Raw genomic sequence first — 23,392 nt, 5'->3', positions numbered from 1 at the left:
GAGCCTCCCTTTCAGCTCTGGGTCTAGGACACTGGAGCCCGGACACCCACCACGGTCTCTGTGGAGCTTTCCAAACAAGCTTTCCAGATCTGCTCACCTGTTTTCCGTGATTCTGAACACAGCAGAACCTTGGTTGTAAGGCTGACAGTTGAGGAGTGCAGCAGAAGGGGGTGTGAAAAAGCGCCTCAAGGTATTCTGAATCTACATCGCTTCAAGCTTCCACACCCTGATCACTTGCCAATAAAAACCCGTTATATCTCAATTCAAAAGAAAAATCACAAAATCCTATTTCTTTCCCTTTGGAATATTTTGTTTTACAAAAACAATACAGATGGCTCCAAAAACAAGGAAGAATTCTTCAACTGTGCTTCAGTAGTGTTTGGAGTCAAGGAAGTTTTGCTTTCATATTAAACATGATAATAAAGCTAATATATATTGAATACTTACTCTGCGCCATGTATTGTTAAGAGCTCATGACATGTATTAACTCCTTTCATCCTTTTACGAGGGAAGTACTTTGATCATCATCCCCATTTTATAGAGTCTCAGAGAGATTAAGTAACATGCTTAAAGTCAAGTTGAATGCCATTTTTCAGTCATTCTCAAACTTTTTGTTTTCAAAACTCCTTTACACTTTAAAAAATTATTGCGAACCCCCAGAAACTTTTATGTGGGCTATCTCTATAGTAAATGCCATATTATAAGTTAAAACAGACATTTTAGAAATACTTTTAAATTCATTCTAATAAACCATTACATGTTAACATAAATAACACATCATTATGAAAAGTAACTATATTTTCCAAAACCAAAAAAAAATTTAACAAGAACGTCATTCTTTCACATTTTTGCAAAGCTTTTAATGTATGGTTTAATAGATGATAGCTGAATTTTCATATATGCTTCTGAATTCAATCTGTTGAGATAAGTCACATCAATCACACCACCTCGTCTCTGGAAAAAACTGACACTCATGATAAAAGGAATGAGAGAAAGGCAAATCATGTCTCAGTGTTATTATGAAAATCAGGAGGAGACCCATGGAGAGAAAACAGAGTCCGGGATTACACCGCAACTTCTCGCTTACCTGTGCAGTGTAATTTTGAGCTGTCTCTTTGTAGTCCTAAGAGACAGGAGCTCCCGTTCTCAGCCTACTAACCCATAACTGTGGGCAAGTCGTGTACACTCCCTGACATGGCTCAGCTGCAAACAAGCTTCTACACTGATCACAAGAAATAGGCCATCAATGATGTTGCCTTCTCAATCCCTGCTGTCTCTTAAAGTGTTGACCTTAGTAACATCATCAATTAATTACTAAAGGGCAGAAATGAGTTCCACAAATATGTGGAGTTTGATTTCCTTATTAAGGGTCAGTTTCTGTGAATGCCCTTGGTCAAACACATGGAACGGGAGAACACCTCCTTAAAAGAAGTTGTGGAAAGAGAATACGCGGAGAAGTACACCGCACCCCAACCAGAATGAAGTGTCCTTGATGAGTGGACCAGTTCAATTCAAGGGACAGAGGTATGGATCTTGACTGGTTCTTATGATGAGACTTCTCGAATCTGGTCCTTGGAAGGAAAGTCAACATTGACAATTGTGGGACACATGGATATTGTTAACAGATGTGGCCTGGGTGACAAAAGACAGTTTGTGTTACTATTGAGTGGCTCTATGGATCAGACTATTCTCTTATGGGAGTGGAATGTCCAGAGAAACAAAGTGAAAACCCTATGCTGCTGCCCAAGTGTAGATTCCACAGCTATTGATAGCTCAGGAACTAAATTTTGCAGTGGCTCCTGAGATAAGATGCTAAGGATCTGGTCTACTGTCCCTACAGAAGAAGATGAAATGGAGGAATCCACAAACTGACCAAGAAAGAAACAGAAAACAGAGCAGTTGGGACTAACAAGGACTCCCATAGTGACCTTCTCTGGCCACAAGGAAGCAATCTCCTCAGTGCTGTGGTCAGATGCTGAAGAAATCTGCAGCGTATCTTGGGACCATGAAATTAGCGTGTGGGATGTCGCGTTTGGCAATCTTAAGTCAACTTTACAGGAAATAAAGTGTTTAATTGTATTTCCTATTCTCCACTTTGTAAATGTTTAGCATCTGGAAGCACAGATAGGCATATCAGACTGTGGGATCCCCAAACTAAAGATGGTTCTTTCGTGTTGCCGTCCCTAACCTCACATACAGGTTGGGAGACATCAGTAAAACGGTCTCCTACCCATGAACCACAGCAGATTTCAGGATCCTTATATAACACCGTCAAGCTGTGGGATTCAAGAAGTTGTAAGGCTCCTCTCTATGATGTGGCTGCTCATGAAGAGAAAGTTCTGAGAGCAGACTAGACAGACACAGGGCTCCTTCCGAGTGGAGGAGCAGATAATAAACTGTATTCCTACAGATATTCCGGGGGGCATGAACTCGAATGATAATTTGATTATAGAGATTCTTTCTATAAATGAAAATTGGTAGAGAATCATGAAATTACATTGATGCAGATGCAGAAAGCAGCCTTTTGAAGTTTATATAAAGTTTTCACCCTTCATAACACCTAACATATCACTGTCTTTTCTTATTTTGTATTTATAATACAAAAGTTCGTGTTTATAAAACAGAAACTGTGGCTTGCATTCTCTATTTAAAAAAGAAAAAAAGGGAAGAAATCATTTTGACCTCACAGTTACCCTAAAAGGGTCTTGGGGACTCCAGGGCCCACTAGACCATACTTGGAAAACTATTCTTGTACTTTATCCCTCATATCCATTGTACTTGCTTACAGTGATCACCGTTATTCAAAAGGAAGTACTTCTTCATAAATGACAAAGGCTGACTTAGACCTCTGCTCTGTAAGGCCTGTATGAACATACGCTTTTCGAGAGGTTACTTGCTATGTGGTCTCTTAACAGAATGGCAGCAGAAGTGACAGCTTTCTTGGAAATGTCTGTAAACTAGGAGTATGTGTATCCACAGATGTCTGTACATGGATCTGTACAGGGATGTGACACACACACACTCATGTGCCTCTTGGGAAGATTATGTCTCCTCCACCTTTCAGATCTCTGCCAAAATAGCACTTCATCACAGGAGACTATGTCAGGATTCACCATCAGATACTCCCAGAGTTCCTCTCCTTTATAACATTTAATAAGGTTGTGAGTTCACATTTATTTGGTGATTACGTGTTAATTAATGCCCATCTTCCTCACTATATGACATGCTCCATGAGGGGAGGACCATGTCTGGCCCCATTTGCCAATGTAAACCCAACTGCTGACACGGTACTCGGCGAATATGAGTTGAATGAATGCTTAATAGGCTTGTCCTTAAAGTATAAAACAGTCAACGTGCTGCAAAACACACTCAGGTCAACAGCAAATCATTTCCAAGCCTGTTTTGAATTATTTTTCAACACTATTCATGGGCTACTTTAGGAAAAGAATAAATTATCATTGTCATTTTTCAGTAAATGCTTACAGTATTTGATCTGCAAATGCAAACTGGAATGTGAATTACATGTGAATCTTCTTTCTTTAAAGAATTTGATTTTCCTAATAGATGACGGGCTCTTTTTAAGTATTATTTACTTATTTATTGCAATGCAGTCTCACTGTATTGCCCAGGCTGGAGTGCAGTGGTGCAATCTCAATTCACTGCAACCTCCATCTCCCAAGTTCAAGCTATTCTCATGCCTCAGCCTCCCGAGTAGCTGGGATTATAGGCGTGTGCCACCACGCCCAGCTAACTTTTGTATTTTTAGTAGAGATGGGGTCTCACCATGTTGGTCAGGCTGGTCTCAAACTCCTGGCCTCAGGTGATCCAGCTGCCTCAGCCTCCCAAAGTGCTGGGATTAAGGGCATGAGCCGCCATGCCAGGCCCTTTTTAATATTAATAAAAAGAACCACCATAACATATTCAGGCAAAAAACAGAAGAGGAAAGAGTTGACGTATGTGTATACAGGCATACTTAAATGAAAACGTATCATCCAAAATAGTGGTAAAAACTAAATTACTAGAATTTGCTTAGCTAAGGTAAAAAAAAGAAGGGGCTGGCTGGGCGCGGTGCATCATGTCTGTAATCCCAGCACTTTGGGAGGCTGAGGCAGGCGGATCACGAGGTCAGGAGATTGAGACCATCCTGGCCAACATGGTGAAACCCCGTCTCTACTAAAAAAATATAAAAAAAATTAGCCAGGCGTGGTGGCGGGCACCTGTAATCCCAGCTACTCAGAAGGCTGAGGCAGGAGAATCACTTGAACCCAGGAGGCAGAGGTTGCAGTGAGCCAAGATTGCGCCACTGCACTCCAGCCTGGGAGACAGAATGAGCCAGCCTCTGCCTCAAAAAAAAAAAAAAAAAAAAAAAAAAGAAGAAGGGACTGAGACAAAAGGTTATGGAATGGGGGATCTGCTGATATGGATTTGTTTTGTGACAGACTGTTCTCTCCAAAGATGACCACATTACCTCCTATCTCTCATGCCTTTCCACAGTGAGGCTGGATACTCCTATCATTAAGAGATGAGGTCTATGTTCCCTCTCCTTGAAACTGGGTGGGCCTATGATAATGGTGATAATGTTGTTAAGTAACTTCCAAGGCTAAGTCATAAAAGGTGATGCAGCTTTTGCCAGACTCTTGGGACATTCACTACTGCAACACAGCCACCATTCCACCAAGACGCCCTAGCAACCTATACAAGGGAACTGAGGTCACTGACAGACAACCCTGGCTGAGCTCCCGGCCAACTGCCAGCACCAACTTGCCGGCCACCTGAGCCAGCCTTTTTTGTTGTTGTTGTTTTGTTTTGTTTTTTAGCCAGAGTCTCACTCTGTGGCCCAGCCTGGAGTGCAGTGGCACAATCTCAGCTCACTGCAACCTCCACCTCCAGGGTTCAAGCGATTCTCCTGCCTCAGCCTCCAGGCAGCTGGGACTACAGGCATGCATCACCACGCCTGGCTAATTTTTGTATTTTTAACAGAGACAGGGTTTCACCATATTGGTCAGGCTGGTCTCAAACTCCTGACATCAGGTGATCTGCCTGCCTCGGCCTCCCAAGGTGCTGGGATGGCAGGCATGAGCCACCGCGCCCGGCCGCAAGAGTGAGCCATTTTCAAAGCAGAGAGGCCCCAGTCAAATTGCTCCAGAAAATAACGTGTGGAGCAGGGAAGTAAAACAAATGTCTCTTGTTGTTTTAAGCCACTAAAGTTCTGCAGCATTAGATAACTGAGTGAGACTCTGGGACCTGAAAGTGGGGCTTTGCCCTTGGTACCAGGCAGTGGGAGGGCTTGGAGGTGAGTGTTACAAGGAAGCCAGAAGGGCTTTAAGAAGCCTGTTGGTTGGGGCTGTATGAAAAAGTTTTTTGACTGTTACTAGAAGCTGGAAGACGGGGAAGCCTTGTATGTATGTAATAGTGCAAAGTCTGTCAACACTGTCACATGTGGTAATGTGGTAAATAGGAAATGTCCTAATGACCTAATGATCTACTTAAGTAGATTCCTCAGGCAGAATACCGTTAAGTATCACTGGCTTTTCTTCACTGTCTATGATAAGATGCAAGAGGGCAAAAATGAGCCAACAACTTCAATTCAAGGGAAGCACTGACAGAAATGCTACCATCCTCACAAGTTATTTATCTCTGCATAAGCCCTTCCCAGGGAAAAATGCACATTCTGAGGCCTAAATTTGTTGAAATGCTCTAGTCAATATGTTGAAATGCTCTAGACTAATTTTTCTTTTCCTTTAAATGTGTGTTGTTGGGAGAATCTGACCTTTTAAAGGTTTCTTGACCATGTGTACCTCCTGTCTGCAGAATTTCCTTTAATGATGGAGGCATATCACAGTGGTTAAAAGCATCAACTCTGGAGCCAGGCTGCCTGGATTTGGCTCCTGGCCCCACCACCACTTGCAGTCTCTGTGATCTTGGGCTCCTTAGCTTCCTGCCTGTGTTCTCATAATAATCACACTCACCTCAAACGCTTTACAAGCATTAAACAAGTTAATTTTGGAAAAGTGCTTACAATAGTGCCAAGCACATACTAAGTACCAGGTAAATACATTTTTAAATATGTGTAAGGATGTTTGCTTCTGGTTACCAAAAAAGTAGAGGGCCCCTCTTTGGAAGCTGGAGTCTCCACCTTCCTGGTGTCAGGACAGTAAGAAAACTAGATGACAGTTTAACAGTAAAGAAGCAACTGGAAACCCATTAGTGGGAAACAGTCCTGAGCAAACTGGTAGAAATCACATTCTGGAAATCCCTGCCTGACTTGAATCAGGCAGAGATGTGAGGGCTTTTACCTGTATAAAAAGATGTGCAGAGATGAAGTGAGGGATATCACTACACTGTTTCTCCACGAGTGTACAGGTATGAACTTCTCTTGCCATGTACCAGTATTGCTGAGTGAAAAGTGAGCTAAATTTTAGGCATAATAAGGACTGCTTATGGTAAGTACTGTCATTTCTAAGACAGTCTAAGGAGCTATTTTTTTCAGAAATGGCATTTTAAGAGTAGAAGATTATGACTGAAAGAGAAGTACTTATTTTTTTGTCAACAGATCGCCTAAAAGTATTTACTGAGCATCTATTAATGCTGTATGTATTCAACAATACACTATCCCAGAGATTAAAGGGCCAAGGGAAGAGAAGGGCAGTGGCAGAAGAAGAGAAGGCAGAGAAAGAGAATAAAGAGAATGAAAGAAGAAAAATCAATACAAATGTGCACACCATTTACTAGGCATCTTAGAAAATTAATTCCTCCCCTGTTAGAAAACTACTTCCCTGTGCACGGGATCATAACAGGGAAAACTGGAAGACATCTCACAAAAGAGCATAATTTAAAGAATTACAAACCCTTTAGGGGATGCACAAAAAACTACCAGGTATTCATACTAATGAACTACAATGGAATTACATAATAGTTCAAAGGGTTATTAGTCTTTCCATTTTATAAAGAAGCCCATCATTAGTAATAATTGGGCTGGTATAAAATAGGAAATCATCTTTTGAAGGGTCTAGCGTAAATTACAAAACCAGGGCCAGCGGCATAATTTAGAAAATTAAATATCCTAAATCACCTCCCTGTGACATCGCCATTACCGTTTTTATGATAGGATCAACTTATTTGTTTAAAAATACCTGGATTCATAAAGGTAGAGAGGAAAAACATTTTTAAATACCCAAAGTGAGCAAAATGAAGGCAAAACAAAGTTCCAAAGTTGTTCTTTGGGTTGGAGAGGGGTAGAAATTGGAGGTGGAGGGAGGCACAAAGGAAGAAGTGAAAGATTTGCGTCCTCTGGATTGCTCTACACACCTGAACTTCCAGACTCTCTCCATCTTAGGTCAACATCTGGGATGGCCGCCCAATACCTCTGTTTTATTTCAGCTTCCCATTTTAAAATCCTACCATAGGCTGGGCATGGTGGCTCCCGCCTATAATCACAGCACTTTGAGAGGCTAAGGCGGGCAGATCACTTGAGGTCAGGAGTTCGAGACCAGCCTGACCATCATGGCGAAACCCCATCTCTACTAAAAATACAAAAATTAGCTGGGTATGGTGGCACGTGCCTGTAGTCCCAACTACTCAGGAGGCTGAGGCAGGAGAATTGCGTGAGCCTTGTAGGCAGAGGTTGCAGTGAGCTGAGATCACACCATTGCATTCCAGCATGGGTGACAAGTGAGACTCTGTCTCAAAAAAAACAAAAAAGAAAAGAAAAAAATCCTACCATAAACACATTTTATTCCTTTGCTCTTGCCTCTGAATTCCCTTCAGAGGGACCCTAGTATAAAATGTGCTAAACAAATCTTACTTTATAGGACAAAGGCAGTTTCCAGCTCTCCTTAAAATAACAATTACGGTATTCTCTTAGATAGAATCCCAATGTATACAACATCAGGCTTATGACATTTTTCTATTGGTAGCTTTTTTCCAAAGGTAAATGAGCTCTGAACTATATTTTCCATTTGCACTAAGTCAAATGACAAAAAATCTCTAGATGCCTATATTAAAAATAGAAAGTAATATAAATACTATAAAGGGCAGGATATTTTCTGTATCAAAGAACCTTAAAATGTGATGCAATTTGACCAAAAATTGTGTACTATTTATTTCTAAAAGTGATTCTTAATAACTGGGACTGAAAAACCTAGTAAGACTATGATATAATTATAAATCAATAATCAAAAATGCCCCTGGTTAAAATGTATTACATAAATTACTTCTCCAAAGAGTTGTACTACGCAACATTGCTTTGGATAAACCATCCTACAAAAATATCAAAGTAGCATGCAAAAGGAACACAGAGGGGAAGGCACTTGTTTTAGAGGCATTTTGTGCGAACAGCTGCTCATATACTTATTGCTATATGGGGTTTAACCTGAGAAAGCTCGAGCCCGCTTTCTTAAAATTAAAAAAAAAGGAGTCGTGATCTTTCTTACTCCTTATTTAAGTTATTTTAAAGTTTGAAACGCTGCCTTTAAAGTCTTACTTCTACAGCTAGAACACAGTACTTGACTACTGCTGAAATTTAAACAAAAATATTTCGGGTTACTGTGATATTTATAAAATAGTATCTTCAGATATCTGTGATTAATGTTCCAGAAAGCACCTAGTTTAAGTACCTGACAGACTGTCTTCTGCAAAACCATTTACACAACTCAATTCCCATCTACTTGATCTTTTTCTTTTAGAAATACATGTCAGTTAACTCCTTAAAACATACAAATCAAAATACAGCCCAGCCCTCCCTGTTACACACCACCAAAGCATACTGGTGGTTGCTTCCAGTCTTTGAACACTGTCTACTACAAACAGATCACTGCCTCAGCTCAGCCTCCTATGGAGAGTAAATACCAAACTAGCGTATTCTCTGACTTAAGAATCACCTAGACCAGAGCCCGCCACAGGAGTAAAAGATGCTCTGTTCTCACTCATAAGTGAGAGTTTAACAATGAGACCACATGGACACAGAGAGGGCAACATCATACACCAGGGCCTGTGGGAGAGTGGGGGACAAGGGGAGGGAGGGCATTAGGACAAACACCTAATGCATGCGGGCCTTAAAACCTAGGTGACGGGTTGATGGGCGCAGCAAACCACCATGGCACATGTATACCTATGTAACAAACCTGCACATTCAGCACATGTATCCCAGAACTTAAAATAATAATTAAAAAGATGCTCTGTCAAAGTAAGCCGTGAAAGTAAGTTGTTCACACTCGTCAACAAATAAATGATGTATTTATTCAAGGACTTCCTGGCCCCTTTGATATGTTACTGCGCACGGCGAACCTCTGAAACCTGGACCTAGGATCCAAGGTCCTATCTTCCAAACTGATGTGAATGATGAACCCGCTGGACTCCAGAGTATCCGGGAGAACCACAGTTTTTCTTTTTCTTTAAGACTAGTCAAGTGCAGTAGTGAGAAGGGAGGAAAGAGGAGAACGAGGGATCTGATCTGTAACTGACTGTGGACGCTACCTTTGGACTAGCCAGCCAGTTTTATAAACAAACTTCAGGAAATCACTGATCTCTGCAGAGCCTACGTAGTAAATATGATAGTAAACAGCAAGCAATAATGTAATAACATCTCGTATTATCCACAGATTTTAACTTTAAACAGAAATACATTAGAGATTCATCAAATTCTGAAACACTAGGCTAACAGGACACCCTTAAAAATCTGATTTTAGGGAATGTATATCACTAGGTCTCAGCTTTTTAGTTTTAGGACCCCCTTGCACTTTTAAAATTGGAGAAGCTCAAAGAATCTTTATGTCAGTTATACTTATCTATATTTACTATTTTAGAAATTGAGAAATTTTTAAACTATCCAATTCACTTAAAATAAGAAAAAATCCACAATCAATTGAAATAAATTTTTATGTAAAAAAAAAAAAAGAGCTGCTTTCCAAAACAAAAAGGATTTTTGCGAGAACAGCACCTCTTACAGTTTTCTGTAAATCCCTTTTAATGTCTGGCTTCACAGAAGGCAGCTGGAGTCAGAGATCTGCTTCTGCATTTCATCTGTTACAACATGCTGTCTTGACTGAAGCACCTGAAGAAAATCCAGCCTCACTCAGATACGCAGTTGGAAAAGGAAGGAATTTTTAAATAACTTTTTTCAAGTAACTTTGGATCTTCTCTGATACTCCATCAAAACTAGACAAGTGGGTGTTTCTTAATGGTTAGTTACAATATGAAATCTGGAACCAAACTGATGAACTTTCGTACTCTGTTACATTAAAATCCATTGGTTCACCTTGCACTTGAAATGGATCGTTTATCCATGTATGACTGTTGTCACATTACGCATTAGTCATTTGGAAAACAAGGTTCATTGGGTTATGTGGATCTTCCAAATGTTGACCTGTTCCATTACATGAGATCAAAAAATCACTTTTGTTAATATCTCCACTGATTGAAGAAGTCTCTAGATACTACGAATCTCACAGCAGTAAATACAAGTTTTCTAAAATCCTCATTTGCAAAGCTCAAATTTTATGACTGGCCCTAAGTCCTGTCAGTTGTTTTCCTTAAAGTGACACGTGAATTTTACTCATTTTCAAGAAAATGTCTGCCAAATACCCAGGACTAAACGGCTAGAGTTTAGCTTCTACTCTTTCCAGTAAAGATGGTGTCCCATGAAAAAGCTGCCGGCTCAGCTCAAACAAATGAAGTTGCTTTTCCTCAATCATCATCACTGCCCTTTGGTACGCAGTAAGAATGCTTGCCATTTCCATCCCACAGAACATTTAAAAAGCATTCGCAGGAACAGGATTTAATAAAATTAATTTTACCGCCTCATCACGGACATTCTTAAGTGGAATTGGAATGTCTTTTCCTGAGAGTGTCTGGCGGGGAACAACGACCAGTACCGGCTGGGGCCACTGTCTCGATTCACGCTAACATGCCAGCAGTTTCACCTGCCACTGCTTGTACACCATCAACACAAATGTCATCACAGTGAAAAAGGCAAATCACATCTTAGTATTGTTAGGAAATTCGTTTTGATTTCATAGGCACCTAAAACAATCTTGAGAAGCCCCGGCTAAAGTCCACACTGAAAAACGTCATTCTAACATAAATAAATAAATAAAAAACAATTTTTGTTTTGTTTTAAATCACAAGAAGCAGAAAATCATAGCCTTTAAGAGTGGTTAGTGGCAAGAATTTTTAAAACGGAGGGACTTGGGGACTATGTTCCAATTCCCCTGTTTTTCAGAGAAGGAAGCTGATCCCAGCGGGGTGTGGGGAGTGTTAAACATCTTGTCAAAGTTTATAAGGCAAGTCAGACACTAGATCAGAAGCCCATTAGCTGCTAGCTATCATCCCATTCTACTGATTCAACAGCGCCTCTGACACAGGCACAGTTGGGGGATCTTTGGGATGATGTACAGGAGACACCTGATCCCAGTGGGCAAAACATTAATCAGCTCAAAGGACAACGGACAGATATGTTTTTCCTATTTTAAGTAAAAATGATAAACTAAATAGACTTCCAGTTTTAGTTCCAACATGTAAAGAGCTTGGAAATCATCACTCCCATTCTTACAAGACAAAAAACCTGAACAAACTCAAAGTCAATGACTTTTCATGGATCCATCAGAAAACTGAAGATGTGGGGCAAACCTCCACCACACAATTTGGAGAGGAAACAAATTCAGAGCCATGGCTGAGATCTGTGTACCTGGAGCCGTAGTCACTGAAGCCATAAACTGGTAGGAAAACTGAAATGGTAATTTTGACGAACACTGAAATGGTAAATTTGACTGTGAATTGACTGGTCTGAGAGTGGCAGCCAGTATTAAGAAGCCCCCCACTCAGCTGTGAGTTTTACTCCCAGGAACCCCACCAAGTCCTCAAGGTAAAGAGCCAGTAAAGACACTCTCATGGCTCCAGCATGAGGAGGTGAGAGTAACCCTTGTGAAATGCACCCAGAACCTTCTCCATGACAAAGGCCCGAGCCCCGGGGGGAAAGACTTTCTCAGAACCTTGTCTCAGAGCCACGAGGAAAGCCCATTCCTGAGTCCAGTCCCCTCTGGCCTCCTGTCTCGCTTATGGGGCTGGAAAAGCTACACAAGAAGAAACGTGTGAAGACGCAGCCTAGGGACCCAGGCCCACTGAAAGACTGAGAGTGAATCAGAAGACTGCAGACCACTGGCCCTCCCCACACCTTACAACTGCACCAATGGGGCTTCACCGTGTAACAGAGGATGAAAGCCGAGAAAGCTGCAGGATGCACCCTCTCTCCAACGAGGCTGCTTAGGGAAGCCCAAAGCCAAGACACGGGACAGAAACAAGGGCACTGCAGGGACCGGAACCCTCTGGCACCTACAGCTGCAATAAACATGACTCACAGCCCAATTCACAGCCAGATTAACAAAAAGCCTCAGGTCAAAGGACTGTTTACCTCAGTTTCTGTTACCCACCATGTCTAGCTTCAGTAAAAAAATCACAAAACATACTAAGAGGCAAGAAAAAAACACAGTCTGGAGAGACAAAATAAGCATCAGAACAAGACTTAAATATGACACAGGTGTTGGAATTACCAGCCGGGGAATTTAAAACAACCATTAATTATTAAGATTAATGAAATTATTAGATGGTAATTGTAAAATCCTGTCTTAATGCCTTAATAAGCAGCAGCTCTGAGGAGGTGAAATTCTCAACACAGTACAGATGTGGGTGTCATTGGCAAAGGGAAACAGGAGTGACAAGGTGACCCCCCAACAGTGCTGTACCTTGTCTGCTGGGGCAAACCAACCTTTGACTCTGCTTTGCCTTTTGAACCTTTCCCTCCTACGTAAAGGGTAAAAAGCCTCACAGTGAAAGGAATTCCCAGGTAGAAAGCACAGTATGGCCTCTTTTCTGCAAATAATCTAGCCAATCAGACACCGCCTCCTTTCCAGGGGGCATTCTCCAGGAGGGAGCCATCCTGTTTACTGCTATCTTACCTTCCACTGGACTGTGTTACTGAAAGTTTCCCCCAATTTCCATACCATTTGCACAAGGAACTGCAGCTACTATTTCTTTCTTTCTTTCTTTCTTTTGAGATGGAGTCTCACTCTGTCACCCAGGCTGGAGTGCAGTGGCGTGATCTCGGCTCACTGTAACTGCAGCCTCCCGGGTTCAAGAGATTCTCCTGCCTCAGCCTCGTGAGTAGCGGGGACAATAGGTGCGTGCCACCACACCCAGCTAATTTTTGTGTTTTTAGTAGAGACGGGGTTTCACCATGTTGGACGGGCTGGTCTCTAACTCCCGGCCTCAAGTGATCCACCTGCTTTGGCCTCCCAAAGTGCTGGGATGACAGGTGTCAGCCACTGCACCTGGCCCTATCTCTTTTCTTTTCAATCCTTTCCTTTCACCTGCAGAAGTGGCTCGGTGAGAACAGTACTTACCTTGCCAGGTCTATAATTTGTGCTTAAGCATTCTGAGGTGGGGTTTTCCCCAAAAACATATATTTTCTCCTACTTCTCTTTGAACAAAATTGCAGTTGTGCCGATCATTAAAGCCTCACTTTTATATGTGTGTACACGTGAATACGTATATGATTAAACGTTCCTGCTAGTCACTGCCTGAGGTTCAGCTTTCTCATGGAATCTCTTTCTAAAAGATTTCATATTCTGAATAACTCCCTGGTCCATACATTGACTATGGGAGTTTACCCTGTGAGGAAGAAGATAAGAAAAAAAACTCAGTAACTCACTATCTGATTCTTCAGGATGGGTGGTATTATTTACTCCTCAAGCTTTACTGAGGAACAATCTTTTCACAAGGTTATAGTACTGTATCTGTTTAATAACATCTGCTTGTGTCACCCTTTTCCTGTTCATAACCACTAAATTTCTCTTTTGAATGGGGCAAACATTCCCACAACCTTCTGCTCTTCACCTGAGGCTGGAGAACTGTAACCAATGCCCACATGCCAGAGCCTCCAGGATCCTCTTAGTTCTGGAGTGGTGTGTGTGCAAACATTATGTACACATTATTCCACTTTGTGTGCACGAGCCTGAGAATGAGGGCCTCCTAAGTTTTGTGCCCTGGCCACTTCACTTGCCTCAACCTAGTCCTGGCCCAGGCACAAGGGGCTATTTACCTCCAAAATGTCCACTGCTGTCTGTCCTCACTACCATTTATTTCTCTTTTTTTTCTTCCTCCTTCCTTCCCCTCCTTCCTTCCTTCCTCCTTCCTTCCTTCCTCCTTCCTTCTTCCTTTCCTTCCTTTCTTCCTTTCTTTCCCTTTCCCCTTTCCTTTCCTCTCTTTCCTCTTTTTTTTCTTGAGAGAGTTTCACTCTTGTCACCCAGGCCGGAGTGCAGTAGCACAATCTTGGCTCACTGCAACCTCTGCCTCCTGGGTTCAAGCGATTCTCCTGCCTCAGCCTTCCAAGTAACTGGGATTACAGGCATGTGCCACCATGCCCGGCTAATTTTTGTATTTTTAGTAGAGATGGGGTTTCACCACGTTGGCCAGGCTGGCCTCAAACTCCTGACCTCAGGTGACCCACCCGCCTCAGCCTCCCAAAGTGCTAGGATTACAGGCATGAGCCACTGCGCCCAGCCGTCACTACCATTTCTACTTGACATCGGTCACACCTTCACTGTTCTCTCTTTAATTTATTCATTCCATTCTTTTTTTTTTTTTTTTGGCTACAAGTAAAAAACCAAAAACTGGCTTCTTATAAACACTGCCAACTAAGCAGGACGCAGCTTTCCTCCCACAGGTGGCGCTCATTATTCAGGCAGGTGCTATGGCTCCTCTTAGCTGTGTTTATCATTCCTGGGCACAGAGAAGTGGCTCCTCCATGGATGGGCCCTGCTGCGCTCCTGACGTCCTGGAAGGGGGAGGTTCTGAGGTCTGAATGCTGGACAGCGGGCTGGCTGTAGGGAACAGCAACAGCAGCTCTTCATGGCCTCTCCCCCTACTCAGCACTAACAAGTCACAAGCAGATGTTAGTTTATTACCAAGCCACGGGTGCGCTCTGTTTTTTTTTTTTTTTTGCACTATATAGATCAGAGTTTTTACGGCAATTTTTCCAAAAGGCCAGAGGAGTTTTTAAATTCTGGTATTATAATTTTTTTGGTCTCTTCCAATTTAAATAATCTGTTTCTAGGCAAAACAGTGTGATGAAGAGTAAAATGTCCCTGAATGAAGACCACCATGTGGCCCCTCTGCTGTCCTTATACCTCGGCAGTCTGCGATCTCCAATCATAAGCCAACAGCATGATGCCTGGGGCTGCGGTGCCCACAGCACGCGGGCTAGAAGAAGCTCTCAGCTTTGATTTAGTGCTCCCTGAACCAACCAACCTTCTTTCAAGCTGCTTTTCATGAGAAAGCTCAGTCCAGAGCATCAGCCACAGCTGCTCCTTCTAGCCCATATTGTTCACCAGGAAAAGAAAACCTATTTAGAGCCAAAGAACACACAGGTGAAGCAGAAACACCAAATTTGCTTTTGGCAGGAAACACCACTGGAGAGTCAAGAAATACTAAATTATGTTGAGGCACCTGAAGACAAAGGACAACTGGAGCCTTAACAGACGGAGGACCCTGCACTCAGGAAAGCAGCCTGTGCTTCCTCAGTCCCCACCCCTCGCTGTGCGCAGTCAGCCAGACTGCCAGGACTACTGAGGACCTCCTAGGCGCACAGCTCTGCTCCTCGTACAGTGGAGAACCTAAGCACAGACAGAGGCAGTCCCCACTGACATTTCTATCTGCTCAAATTTTAAAGTGCATGTGAGTCTTTAACTCAACATTCCTGCTGTCCAACAGCACTGCTAGGGGCAGCTCTGAGGGCTCAGGGACACACGGCAGCCGCCCACGTGCTTGTCCTGCCCAGCGGCTCCTCTCGGCCACGTGGCTGCGTGCCTCCATGTACAGACTCTGGACAGTTGTATACAGGGTTGAAACTGGGAGGCTTGAGTTGAATATGAATCTAAAGATTTGCTCTGTTGGTGGCAAGCCAGTCCTCGCTGTTAATCCCCCCTCACTTTATTAGTTACACACTTCACCTTGAAAAACAATTACAAAGAACAAGAACATTTTAAGTGTTAAGTGCATTATAAATATTAACTCATTTAATCCTCATAACAAGCCTGTATTATCTTAATTTGAAGGTGAGGACACTAAGGCACAGAGAGATTAGGCGACCTGCCCAAGGTCACAGCTAACATGGGATAGAGTTAAGGCTCAAACTCTTGCAGTCTAGCTCTAGTCTATGCCATTAACCACTGAACAAAGTATTTTAAAAAAGGGGGCTGAGGCATTTAAGTGAGTATATAACATGCCTTCCTAAGGGCGGCCACACTCATCATAACTAAGTCTCTAATGTAGAAGTTGAGAGAACAACAACAAGGCAAGCAGGACTGCAGCACTGCGGGTATCACGTCTCCCAACTGTGGCGACTTCTGTGTGTCTCAGAAGCTTTCTGCAATGGAACACCCACCAGTCAGCCCCAGATACCTCTCCCAAGGCAGGCAGATCTGTGTGGACCAACAAAGGAACCACCAGGCACTTGTGGCCATTTAAACTTAAATCGCAATTAAATAAAATTGAAATTTCAGTTCCTCAGTGGCAACGGTCACATTAATAGGTGCTCAGCAGCCACATGGGACCAGTGGCTACTATACTGGACAGCAAGGAGAGACCATTTCCAACATCACAGAAACTGGTACTGGCCAGCACTAAGTAGACTAAGCAGTGTGATTTTTTCTTACGCTTTAGTCTGAAAACATTAGTGATAATAATTGCATCTTTTCTTCCATGAATCTGCAAAATTCAAATTACATTTTGTTTCTTCATAAAGCAAATGTGTACTCCAAAGGCCCGCTCCAAGGGGTAGAGTGGGTTACTTACAAGCAGGTCAGGTAGAGCCCTTGCCCTCTAGTAGCTGGTACCCAGGATGTTAATATGTCCTCTTGTATAATAATGACCGAAGGCTCAAAACCAGTGAGGAAAAAGGAACTCATTAAAAAGTTCAGCAGACAGCAAAATCCATTTTGTTTACAGATTTTAGCTTCATGGTGGACATTAAGCATGAGACACACATTCAACTGGTCACGTGGAAGCTTGACAAGAGAGGATGGCTAAGTACACACAAGCTGATACCCCATCAGAGGAACAACTAGGACGCACGCGTTACTACACAAAGTGGGCCAGACACTTCCAGGCTTTAAAAAAAGCACCCACACAAAAACGTTCAAATACAATGGAAGCCATGTGGTCCAGGGACAGTGGTGCCAAACTTCCCACTGCAAATATTTTCTTACAACAATTTCTAGCATCCTTAACTTCCACGAGTGGTATCCCTAAATACACAGCACCACTGCTCCATTTCATGTGGGCTCTCATGAAGCAGAAAAGCCACAATTAAAACGTGAACAACTTAGCAATAAAGCACAAATTCTAGGATATTTTCACAGGTAAGGAATCTAAGATCCAAAATTCCCCCTCTAACTCCTCAACTTGCAGTCAATGGAAGCCAGGTAAGATTATCCTTATGACCAACAGGAATTGCCTTGTTCTAACACAGATCTTTGTTCATTTAAAAAAAATTCTCCTCTCTGTCCTTCTCTCCATTCCTTCCCTCACTCTTACTGTCTACCCCTATTACATTTAGAAACACAATTGAATTTTTATGAAATCTTGTGATACAGTCAAAGTTTTTTTTTTATTTCAGAAGAATGAGGCATCGCTTACCAAGCAGTGGTTATAGGAATGATTAATATCTAGTCATCTTAAGTTGCAAAAACACATTAAGCTCCTCAGAAGATGCAAATTTTTAAAAAATGCAATAAAGTAATAATTATATTACATACTTGTGACTTCTTGTAAGAAATCCAAACATGGTCGACTACTTCCAGAAATACTTATTGAAACAGCCAATGGGGTCTGTCCTTCATAGTTCCGTGTGTTCGTGTCTGCTCCGTAATTATATAACATCCGTGCACACAGCACATCATCCCTAAGGGCAGATAAGTGTAAAGGAGTCTGTCCGTCTTCTAAGCGACCCAAGTTTGTGTCTGCCCCTCTCTGAAGGAACATTCGGCAATAAGAGTGATTGCTTTTGATCACGGCGTATCGCAACAGGAAACCATTCTGAATGTCGATGTTGGCATTGTGGTCCAGGAGGATTTTCACACAGCTTGACCTCTCTCGGATAATGGCGAGCTGAAGCGGTGTGGTACCTTTATCACTGAGTGGGTCAACCTCAGCCTTGAACTCCAGGAGGAGCCGGACAAATGAGTCCCTGCCGTAGTGGGCAGCCACATGGAGGGGAGTCCAGCCGTCATTGCTTTTTGCATTAATGATGTCGCTCCTGTATTCAGATTCTAACATCAAGCGTGCAATGCGGGCCCGGCCATGCATGGCTGCATAGTGAAGAGCCGTGAAGCCTCCGATTAAGTCTTTAACTGTAGGATCAGCTGGAGTTAAAACCAAAATGAAAGTATTAGCAGACTCCAAGACAAAACAACAAACATTACCATGGCACAGCAAACTGTGGCCAATTCTCATATAAAATGTGAAGCAACCAAACACTGTAATGAATATCAAGTACGTTTTTCCTCAGTTTAATTCAAGTCTGGTTTTAATGGAAAATAAATTTTGTAGAATGTTATCACGTCTGGGTTAATGAAAGGAGAAAGACAAAGTGTTTAAAAAGATATACACAAAAAACACGGAGTACAGATCACCACATCCCCTGTCTTTGCTAATTTAACCAACTGCCTCTGGCTACTCAACTCCTTCATCTCTGCACTGTTTCATGTTTCTCTTCTGTTTTGAACTTTTTGTTTTATTTTCTCTTGTGCTTCTTCTCGGTCTTAAAGAGAAGCATGTGTAGCAACATCTGCTGCTCTAAATTACAGATACACTATGCTCTGGCACACCGTGTTGTTTTAGGGTATATTAAGTAATAAAAAAAAGTTTTTCTGTGGTCTGTAAAAATTCCAAAGCATCTCAGATATATGTCAAGTAATCTTGACAAATTGTTTTTTCACAAGATAGAAGTCTATTCTGAATTCTTAGTTTTACACGAACTTTGGAGTTTATAAGAATTAAGCAATGCATTATGTGAATAACCTCAGCATTGTAAAAATATTTTCTAAAACAGTTCCAAAAACCTCTCCTAATTGACTGATCTCTGGGGAAGGAAAAACAACTATAATAATTTATCTGCTATGTGACTCAAGTCACAGTCTTTTGTCACTGGCCTCAGATCTTTCATTAAGCCAAAGGTTGGTTCTTGATGGCGTTCACCCCATGGCATCCCTGGCTGGGGGCAGAAGACGGACGAGGACTGGTTATGCCGGGCACCTCCTAGAAGTCAGCAATTCCATGTAAAAGATCAATTGATCAGACCTAACTACCCAGGATGAAAATGCTCTCTTGTAAAAGTCACCTTAATTTTTGGCTTGTTAATAAAAGAAAAAAATCATTAATGTTTTACACACACACCTACACATACATACACACACACAGCCTCCACAGGTGAGTGAAAACTCACGTATTGTTTAATAAACGTTATTTAGGTCTAGAACATATTATGACAAATGGTTCTCTTAGAAAAATCTGAGGCAGAAAACTATATGTAAAATAACAATACTGTGGAAAGTATTTCAGTGAAGGAGTTGCTAACAAAACCTATACAAAATAAGATGTTTTTAGGTAAGCCATATCATGTAGATTTCTAAAAACATTTACTGTAAAGTGTCAGTACACAATGGTAGTATTAGTTGTATCTATTTAGGGGAAATAAGGGCATTATATCTACCTTGGTCTTAACTGAAAGAAAAATATACAGTATCTGTTTACCACAGGACTTAAATTTAAGTAGGGTAAGAACATTTTAACACAGCATTTTGCTGCCATCTGCTGGTAAGGCATGAGCATGACACTAATGTTTCCACCGGGCAGATACTGCTGAGCCCTTAAGTCACTCAAGCCGGTTCCAGGTGCATCGCTTACCAGAAGTTCAAAGTCAGGCGTGAAATCTACAAGATGCCCTCCCATTCAAATGAAACAAAACATCTTGCCAGAGGTCATTTCTAATCTATACCTGGCCAGTCAACTGCTGGCAGACATTCCCTCTTAATCTGCAAGTGAAATTTAAGAATACCTTCTTTTCACTTCTCCCACCCTTCAGCCACCATCCTTATTTGTATCCTATACTCGTTCTATTTGACAGTAAAATTAAAATTATGTTACAAAACACTGCACTTGCATCTTTGGTTTCCATTTCAGGTCTCTTTCAGGTTCTATGTACATTTTGAAGCTACACTGAGCTAAGGAAAAACAGAGATTAACACACACAACAATGACCTGCATAGTCTCTGTTAAAATCAAATGGGAGATTAGAAGCAATGAAAATGCAAACAAATGTAATTTAAAGATTATTAGCCCATGAAATAAGGTAAGAAAAATATCTCATTTGTAATAGCAACATAAACTACAAAACGCCTAGACAGAAATTCAGTAAGAAATGGACAAGACGTGAAAACATTAAGTGAACTCATGTCACTCTGTATCCACTCAAATGTCCTTTTATCAAAAAAAGAAAAGCCTTCCCTAAACATTTCATCTAAAACAGCAACCCCACTGAACTTATTACTTTGTCCCCTTAGCAAACATTTTCTCCCCAGGTGGAACTTATTTTAAATAAGCTGTAGCATAATCTCAACAAGTTCATTTAAATTTACGAGAAAAAAATTTAATGTATATAAACAGAAGCAAAGAAACATTACCTATGAATATGAGGGGATTTTTTTTTTTCTAACAGCTTTATTGAGGTAAAATGCATTCACTTTAAGGGTACAGATGATGAGCTTTGATAACTGTATACGAGTATATAACCCACCACCCTATTTAAAATATAGAACATTCCATCATCTCAAAAAGTTCCTTCATCTCTCTTTAGCCCTTCCCAGACTCTGGGTCCCAGGCAAACCACTGGTCAAAAAAGTTTTGTCATTTCTGGAAATTCATATTAATAGAATCATATGTAGACTTCTGTGTTTGACTTACTTCACTTTGCATGATGTTTCCGCCATACTTCCATGTTGTATCGACAGTTCACTCTTTTGTATTGCTGGATAGTACTGTATACTATATAGTTTTTTTAATCAATTGATGAGAAGATGGGCATTTCAGTTCTTACCAATTTGAGCCTATTTGAATAACACTATCATGAATTAATATATGAGAGAGAGACAGACAGAGAGAGAGAGAGACAGAGAGAGAAGGAGAGGGGGACAGAGTGTTTTCATCTCACTTGGGTTCAATACCCACGAGAGACTTGCTGGGTCGTATGTGAAATGCACATGAAACTTTCCTAAGTTCCTTTTTAAATGGCTACACCATCTTACATTCTCATCAGCAATGGATGAGTTCAGATTGTTCTACATCTTGGTATCATTAGTCATTTTAATTTCACTCATTCTAGAGAGGTAAAATCGTGGCTTATTGTGCTTTTAATTTCTATTTCCCTAATAACTAGTTATACTGAACGTATTCATATACTGTTTTGTGAATTGTCTGTTCACCTCCTTTATCCATTTTTATTGGTTGTCTCCTCATTAATGAGTTGTACAAATTCTGTGTATATTCTGGATACAAGCCTTTTGTCAGATGTGTCTTGTAAATATTTTCTCCTAGTTTGTTGCGTGCTTTTTCATTTTCTGTATTATGTTTTGAAGAGCAAAACTCTTAATTTTGATGAAGCCCATTATTTATTTTACAGTTTGTAGTTTTGTATCCTATTTTAAAAATCTTTGCTCAATGCATTGTCACAAAGATTTTTTTTCTTCTAGGAATTTTGCACTTTTAACTCTCACATTTAGATCAATAGCCCATAATTAATTTTTCTGTGTGGTATAACGTAAGTTCAAGGTTCAGTACTCCCCACAAAGATATCTACTTGTTCCAGCACAATTTGTTAAAAGGACTCTTAATGATTTACCCTAGTGTCACTGCTGAAAATCAATTTACCATAAAAGTGTCGCTCTATTTCTTAATTCTGTTTTGTTCCATTGACCTAAAAGTCTCTCCATACACCAATCCCACACTGTCTTGACTACTGTAGCTTATAGTAAGTTTTAATAGCAGGTAGCTTAAGTTCTCTAGCCTTCTTTAAAATTATTAATATTTGGGATAATAAATTTTAGAATCAGCTTGTCAAGTCCTCAAACAAGCCTGCTGGAATTCTGATTAGAACGCCACTGACTCTAAGGATGGCAATCTCTCCAAAATGATCCAAACAATATTGATTCTTCCAAACCATAAACATGGGATAGTTCTCTATATAGGTCTTAATTCTCTTCAGCAATGTTTTATAGCTTATATACGTCATGCATATCTTTTGTTAAATTTATTATTAAATATTTTAAACTTTGTTGCTATTATAATGAGCTAAAATTCCATTTTCCAAATGATGACTGCTGATAGAAATAAAATTGATTTTTATACACTGACTTGTGTATTCTATAACCTACCCAAAATCACTTTTAGTTCTAGAACACATTTGTAGTTTTCTTGCCAGGGTCTACATGCACAATTATGTTCTCTGCAAATACAGTTTGACTTCTTTCTTTCCAATTCATGACCCTTGATTACTGCTCTGCCCTCATTCCACTGGTTAGAACATACAGTAGGATGCTGAATAAAGTGGCAAAAGCACAGACCCTTCCCTTGGTTCCTGATCTTAAAAGGAAAGAATTCAGTAGTTCACCACCCGGGAAGCTGTAGCTTTTCATTGCTTTGGAAATCACCTTCTGCTTCTGGTTTCCCATCTTTCTCATGAAGGTATTTAAGACTGTTCCATTTTCTGAATCTACTGAAATGATTGTTAGGTATTTATGTTTTATTCTAATGTGACAAATTACTCAGCCTATTGATTTTCAGATGTTAAACAAATATTGTACTCCTGGAGTAAATACTACTTGGGCATAATATTTTTTTTTATACACCAATAGACTGGATTTGCCAATATTTCGTTAGGAATTTTGGTATCTATTGTCATGAAAAATATTGGCTTATAGTTTTCTTCCAAGGTCTTTGTTTGGTCTGTATCAGGGCTACACAAGCCTCATACAACAAGCTTGGAAGTGTTCCCTCCTCTGTCAAAAAATTTGTGTAGAATCCTTATTTACGTCCTTTAATATCTGAAATAATTCAATGAGAAGCCAGCTGGACCTAAAGTCTTCTCAGTGAAAAGTTTTAGTTATGAGCTAGACTTCTTAAATTGATATAAGGCTATTAATCTATTTTTTCCTTGGGTCAGTTTTAGCATCAGTTTTGTGCATCAGGAAATCTGTCCATTTTTCCTAATGGCACAAAGGTGCCCATTATACTCCTAATCTTTTTGATGTCTAGAGGATCTGTAGTGACATATCCCTTCCACTCTTTT

General features: G+C 40.8%; 1 protein-coding gene and 1 pseudogene across 2 annotated transcripts in view, besides 2 other annotated features; one reads left to right on the top strand and one right to left on the bottom strand.

The window, feature by feature from the left end:
• Nucleotides 1-23,392, bottom strand: part of ASB7 (ankyrin repeat and SOCS box containing 7) — a 49,113-nt gene that overhangs the window by 3,852 nt on the left and 21,869 nt on the right. Inside the window, exon 5 of one of the 2 annotated variants that reach the window (NM_198243.3) lies at nucleotides 17,808-18,413. In NM_198243.3, the coding sequence (NP_937886.1) occupies nucleotides 17,808-18,413 (606 nt within the window). Of the gene's footprint in view, nucleotides 1-17,640; nucleotides 18,414-23,392 lie in introns of those variants that run through there. The other variant, NM_024708.4, reaches the window with a different exon arrangement.
• On the top strand, nucleotides 1,031-2,617 carry WDR12P2 (WDR12 pseudogene 2; annotated as a pseudogene).
• Nucleotides 12,021-12,522: an enhancer, noted in NCBI's record as "H3K27ac hESC enhancer chr15:101175533-101176034 (GRCh37/hg19 assembly coordinates)". NCBI's record gives its function as "activates a minimal SCP1, AML or CMV promoter by ChIP-STARR-seq in primed H9 embryonic stem cells {active_cell/tissue: H9 hESC(primed)}" and the evidence as "EXISTENCE:reporter gene assay evidence [ECO:0000049][PMID:30033119]".
• Nucleotides 15,281-15,780: an enhancer, noted in NCBI's record as "H3K4me1 hESC enhancer chr15:101172275-101172774 (GRCh37/hg19 assembly coordinates)". NCBI's record gives its function as "activates a minimal SCP1, AML or CMV promoter by ChIP-STARR-seq in naive H9 embryonic stem cells {active_cell/tissue: H9 hESC(naive)}" and the evidence as "EXISTENCE:reporter gene assay evidence [ECO:0000049][PMID:30033119]".

The sequence above is a fragment of the Homo sapiens genome, chromosome 15 (genome assembly GCF_000001405.40).
Source record: "Homo sapiens chromosome 15, GRCh38.p14 Primary Assembly".
Classification (NCBI taxonomy): Eukaryota; Metazoa; Chordata; class Mammalia; order Primates; family Hominidae; genus Homo; species Homo sapiens.
This window is presented reverse-complemented; position numbering and strand designations above follow the sequence as displayed.